This window comes from Homo sapiens, chromosome 10 (genome assembly GCF_000001405.40).
Source record: "Homo sapiens chromosome 10, GRCh38.p14 Primary Assembly".
Taxonomy (NCBI): domain Eukaryota; kingdom Metazoa; phylum Chordata; class Mammalia; order Primates; family Hominidae; genus Homo; species Homo sapiens.
This window is the reverse complement of record NC_000010.11, coordinates 120396170-120402984: the sequence shown is the minus strand read 5'-3', so window position 1 is coordinate 120402984 and position 6815 is coordinate 120396170. Positions and strand designations below refer to the sequence as shown.

General features: G+C 39.2%; 1 annotated feature.

The window, feature by feature from the left end:
• Nucleotides 5971-6480: an enhancer, noted in NCBI's record as "NANOG hESC enhancer chr10:122156017-122156526 (GRCh37/hg19 assembly coordinates)". NCBI's record gives its function as "activates a minimal SCP1, AML or CMV promoter by ChIP-STARR-seq in primed H9 embryonic stem cells {active_cell/tissue: H9 hESC(primed)}" and the evidence as "EXISTENCE:reporter gene assay evidence [ECO:0000049][PMID:30033119]".

Below are 6815 nucleotides of genomic sequence, written 5' to 3'. Positions count from 1 at the left end.
TTCAAGCAATTCTCCTGCCTCTGCCTCCCTAGTAGTTGGGATTACAGACACCCACCACCACGCCAGGCTAATTTTTATATTTTTAGTAGAGATGTGGTTTTACCATGTTGGCCAGGCTGGTCTCGAACTCCTGACCTCAAGTGATAAGCCTGCCTTGACCTCCCAAAGTGCTGAGATCACAGGCATAAGCCATTGTGCCCGGCTTCCCACCGCGTTCTTTACAAGTAACAACTTACAAGGAGGCACATAAGGAGGATCCAGCACAAAGATGATTGACTCATTGATTTCTCCATTCAACACATATGTGCTGTGTACCTACTACATGCCCTGGAAGCAACCAAGTGCTGGAGATGCAAGGTGAATAGAAAACAGAGACAGGAGACAGCCAAACACCCAACTTAGAGAACTATGACTCACCCTGTCTTAGAAGTATGCACAAATGTTTTGAGGGCACAATCAAGAATTATTAATCCATGCTCTTTTTCATACCATTGGCTTCCTTCAGTTCCTTAAACTCCTTGAGCTTTCTCCTTCTGCTTTCCCAGGGTCTGAAATGCTCTTCCCCTTGCCCTAGGGATGAATGCCTCCTATTCATCTTCCAAGGATCAGATTACAAGTATCCTCCTCCAAGAGGTCCCCTTTGATCTAGAATTCCTCCATCATTCTCCAGCTTAGCATCTGATTAGCATTATGTTAACTACCGCTGTTTTAAATCATTTGTATTTATATATTTACTTATTCCTTTACACCCTCAGGAGGGCAGGCATTACAACTGCTATGTTATCCATGGTATTCCCAGTGCCCCAGTTACTGCCTATGTGTAATTTCAAATGTTTTCTGAATAAATAGATGTCTGGGGAGGACAGGGAAGTCTTCATAGGGAAAACATCTAAAGAAGAGCAGGATTCCTCAGTATACAGAGTGAGGACAGGGGTTTTTAGGAGATCAGCATGTGCAAAGGCACTGGGGTAAGATCAAGAAGGCTGATCCCAGAAAACTGCCTGATGGGGACTAAGGGACTTGTTCCCCTCTTGATGCCTGAGAGCCTATCCCTGAAAGTGTCAGCCCTTCCATCTTTCTTCATTGGGAAAATGTTGAGTCAGAGCAAAAAAATTGCTCAATTTAAAATAAAACAAGGCTAAGAAAACCAAGGAAATGATGCAAATACAGCTTATCAGATGCATAGGTGGGGAAAAAACCTCACAGTTGATGAAATTGCACATGAAAATGAAGCATGATTTGTTTCCAGATTGTTCTACAAAAAGTATACACTATGTTTGCCTTCGTGTAATTTACTAAAAGGACTGGCAGACAGTTATTAACACATTAGTTTAATTTATACTTGCTAATAGGCCCATTGTGTCATTCTCATCACCCATAAGATCAACTCTGGATAGCACAGTTCTGTCAAAAAGAAGCTAGGCAAGGCCTGTCTGCCTTCTCATCAGCCCCAGGTACTAAGTGCCTTCTTCTCATCTCATCCTTCATTCATAAGGATGGGAGGATGCACATGAGGCTTCCTCTGAGTTGCAGAGCATCATAGAAATTTGGTTTGTGGCATCTTCCAGCCCCTACTCAAATGCAGATGCCAAGTCTCGTCCCTTTGTGTTACCCATTTGCATAGAAAGTGCACTCTGGAGCTCCTAGTTTTGAGAGCGGAAATTAACCAGTGATACAGAAAGGATGCCACGTTATATTTAGATTGATTCCAAACATGCTTATGGCAGGGCTGGTGCCACAGTGCATACACCAACAGAATTAATGATGATTAGATACCCTCCTTGTCAAGTAGAATTGGAGAAGTCGTCATTACTTGAGTTTATGATTCCTCAAACAAAACAAATCAGCACACCCTTCCTAAGAAAAAGCCCCCCCGCCCATCTAAGCGTTAGCCACTCCCTGGAGTTTCAGTGGATGCCAGTTCCATTTCTAAAGGAAGCATCTTACAGAACAAAGGCTGGAGACTATAGCAGAACCTTGCTAGAACTAACTTTATGGTGAGATTGTTCTGGGAAGCTACAGCATCATATCCCATAGATTTACTGTGTTATAAAACACAGCCAAAATTATGCTTTGAAATGCTTATTGAATGAGTATAACGAAGGTTTCTGTATGTCTTAGTCAGTTTGGGCTGCTATGACAAAACTCCATAGACTGTGTGGCTTAAACCACAAACATTTGTTTCCCACAGTTCTGGAGGCTGGATAGTTCAAGGTCAAGGTACCAACAGATTAGTATGTGGTGAGGGCTCTCTTTCTGGTTTGCAGATGGCCACCTTCTTGCTATGTTCTCACATGGCACAGAGAGAAAGAGAGAGAGAGAGAGAGAGAGAGAAGGAGAGAGAGAGCATAAGAGCAAGAGCACACTCTTGTCTCTTTTCCTCTCTTATAACGGCACTATCCTATGATGGTAGCTTCACCCTCATAATTTCATCTATAGACCTAATTACTTCCCAAAGGCCCCACCTCCAAATACCGTCACATTGAGGATTAGGGCTTCAACATACGAATTTGGAAATTGGTACAAACATTCAGCCCAGGGCAATAAGTAATAAAATGTTTTTGCCTCCCTTTTCAAACCCAGCTTTGAAGTCTACTGTTGAAAAACTTGATTTTTATCCCCACCTAATAACACTTTAATTTTTAAAATTATCAGTGTTCCTCCAAAGGGAAGTTACACTTTTGAATCAATTAGAAACTTCTTAGTAATCAGGTATTTAAACAATGCCCTATCCTGTGATTTAAAGTAGTGTCTGTCTAACCTGTCTGGGGGACACCTGACAGTGCAAAATGCTCAGACAGCTCCTGGGGACAGCTGTTCTACCGTTTTTCTACACAAATAACAACCATGTTCCTGGAATTCCCAGGAAAATGAGGTAGGAGGTATTCCTATTGCATTTTGATGTATTTAAACAGCTCCATAAATCAAATAGCTTGTGCTGAGGAATTTCTTGTTTTTCACCAAGAGAACGGTTAGGGGACTTCAGGACCCAGCTCCATTGTCACAGGTTAGATGAAATGATGACTGTATCTCACAATGACTCTAATGCAAACAGCTTCACTGAGTCTCTGCAAAGTTCAAAACACATCTAGGAGCATGGAATGGTTCCTCCAGGAAGCCACTTTGCTAGCATCTGTGATATGCAGGCATAAAATATACAGCAGACAATTATTCAAAGACAGAACTATTCTCTTTCCCTCTCCCTCTCCCTCTCCCTCTCCCTCTCTTCCTCTCTCTCTCTCTCTCTCTCCCTCTCTCTCTCTCTCTCTCTCTCTGGCAAGTAACTCAGTAAATGTATGGTGCCATTTTATCTATTATTAAAATGACTATATAAAATGAAGGAGAATAATTCAGTAATTTGGCCTGTAAAAATGAAATGGACTGGGTCGTCCATGAACGGGAGCCTGGTTCCCAGCATTCTGGAATGCTCTGCTCATTCCAGAATGTAACTTCATTATTTAACCTGCCTTGCCCTGCCTTATTTATCATGTCCCCCTCCTGCTCGGCTTGTTTCCCACCCTAGGCTCAGGACCACTCTGCAGAGACTTGCCTGCAAATGCAAAAAAATGTGTGCAAGGGAACTTCCATTATGGCCCTTCTCCCACATTATCATTATTTTAATAAAAGCAATGCAAGCATAAGGAGGGAAAAAGAAAATCTCAAACTGTACAGGGAAAGGGTTAAAGTGAGAAAGGACCATTCTCTCTCCCCTTCCACTTTGAGTCCTTTGCAAAGATAACCATTATCAATATTTCTTGCACATCCTTTCAGTAAAATATTAATGTGTGTAACTGCATACATTTGCATATGCTTTTAACATATTCAATTAGGGTTATGTTTTATATATGCGTATACTATTCTTGATTTTTCTTTTAACACGTGTTGAAAATCATTTCACATCACATACATCTCTTTTTAAATTTATATTTCATTTTACTTTTTATTCTGGTAAAATATGTATAAAACATCATTTTAATTCTTTTTAAGTGTATAATTCGGTGACATTAGGTACTTTCACAATGTTATATAGTCATCACCACTATCTATTTCCAGAACTCTCTCATCATACCAAACAGAAACTCTGTACCTATTAACCCATTTATGCTGGAGGTTGCAATTTTTGGAATTGCAGACATGTGTGAAAAATCAGACCCTGGCAATGACCTTGAGCAATAGGATATAAATAATTCCTACAGGCTTACTGTTCCAGTAATGGAACACTAGGCATAAATGGGCAATAACTCCCCATTTTCCCCTCCCACTAGCCCCTGGGAACTTCTTTCTACTTTCTGTCTCTACGGATTTGCCTATTTCAGGTACTTCATATAAGCAGAATCAAATATGTGTCCTTTGGTGCCTGGCTTATCTCACTTAGCATAATGTTTTCAAGGTTCATCGATGTCATAGCATGCTCAGAATTCCATTCTTTTTTAAGGCTGAATCATATTTCATTGTATGGATATGGCACATTTTGTTCATGCATTTATCTGTTGATGAACACCAATTTTTGGTGACTGTGAATAATGCTATTACCGTACAAGTATCTGTTGAGTCCCTGCGTTTTATTATATTAGGTATAAAGCTAGGAGCGGAATTGCTAGATCATATGGGAGTTCTATGTTTAACTTTTTAACTGCCAAATCATTTTCCACAGCCACTGCACCATTTTACATTCCCACCAGCAATGCACAAGGGTTCTAATTTCTCCATATTGTACCCAGTGCTCGTTATTTTCTTTTTGAAAAAATTAGCCATCCTAGTGGGTATGAAGTTGCATTTCACTGTGGTTTTGATATGTATTTCTCTAATGACTAATGGTGTTAAACATCTTTTCATGCCTATTAGCCATTTGTTTATCTTCTTTGGAGAAATATCTCAAGTTCTTTGCCCATTTTTGAATTAGATTGTTCTTTTTGTTTTTTAGTTTTATCTATTTATTTTTTAAATAAACTTTTTAAATTGAAGCACTACATATATAAAGTGCCAAAATCATCAGTATAGAACTTCATGAATTTTCAAAGTGAATACATTCAAATAATCACCATCTTTTTCAAGAGATAAAATATTACTCAGCACCCCAGATGGCTCCCTCATGCCCTATCCTAGTCATTAGTTACCCTCAACAAAGGTCCGCCTCACTCCGGCTTCTATTACTATCATTTAGTTTCTCCTGCTTTTGAGCTTTAGACACCTGGAATCATAAGCTATAGTATGTCCTACAGGTTGAGTATATTTTATCCAAAATACTTGGAACTAGAAATGTTGTAATTTTTTTTCAGATTTTGGAACATCTGCAGTATACTTACTGTCTGAGCATCCCAAATCCAAAAATCCAAAATCCAAAATGTTTCAATAAGCATTTCCTTTGAGTATCATGTTGGTCCTCAAGTTTTGGATTTGGAGCATTTCACATTCCAAATTTTCAGATTTGGAATACTCAAACTGTATTATATTATCTTTTTTATGTCCAACTTCTTTTACTCAACATTGTGTTTGTGAAATTCATCTATGTTGTTAGTTTATTCATTTTAATTGGTGTATGATATTCCAACAGCATGTTTATTCTACAGTTTATTGATCCAATCTATGATGTTTGGATATTTGGATTGTTTCCAGTTTGGGCTAATATAAATACTCTACAGCAGTTAGGAACATTTTTATAATGTCTTTTGGTGATTATATATATGCATATCTGTGGTGTTTACACATAGCAGTGGATCTGCTGGGTTATATGGTATGCATTTTTTTTCCAAAGTGGTTGTACTGATTTGTACTCCAACCAGTAATATAATTATCTTAGAATAAATATCCCAATTAATTTTAGTAATCCATTGTATAGATGTGCATAACTAAACTCTCTATTCTCCTACTAAAAATGTTTAGCTTGTTTGCAGTTTTTAAATTTTTTTATTTTTGCTATTGTAAACAGTGCTGCAATGAGTATCCTTACACATATAAATTAGCAAAGTTTTGCAAATATAAACATAGGGTAAATTCCTAGCAGGGTAACTCCTTTGCCTACATGTCTATGCATTAAACATTTTGACAGACATGACCAAATTACCCTCCTACGTGGTTACAAACATTTCTACTCCCACTGACATTAGGAGGTTGACTGCCAAATACCACCTCCCTACCCTGTCCCAACAACAGTTAATTTAATTGTTTCCAACTTGATGGGTGAACAATGGCATTACTTTGTTGCTCTGATTTGCATTAATTATGGAGTGAGTTTCTTACTTTCATTTTTAACCTGTCACTGCAGTCAGTGACAAGAGGAGGCAGCCACTTAACCCAAAGATAGGAGAAGAAGCTTCCTTCTCACCACATCAGCATCCTCTCCATGCAAGACAAATGGTAAATCCTACTCAAATTTGTTTGTCAGGCTCTAAAGTTCTCAAAAGCATCTGGAGTATATCATAACGTTGCCTTTTCCATTACAATTATTGGTGGCATCCCAGCTGTGAAGTGGGTCTCGGTGGGCAGTATGGCTCTCTCATGACTGGCTGCTCCTTCCTGCCCAATCATTCTCCTAAGAGCAACTCCGTTTTGTCTGTTGAGGCAACAGGTGATCACGGCTTCACCAGCAGCAGCAGCATGGCTTGTCAGGACTTGCCTGGGCTGATGAAGGTCCTCACGGCTTCCTTTGACCAAGAAAGTTTGAGTGTTGAATTCTCCTTATGGTTGGAGAGTACCATCTCTGCTAATACTCTAAATGTGAGTCCCGTGCTAGCTGGTTTCCAAGAAATACTGAAAGCTGCTGTGTTTGCTTCCTATGGCTGCTATAACAAATTACCAAAAACTAGGTGGCCTCA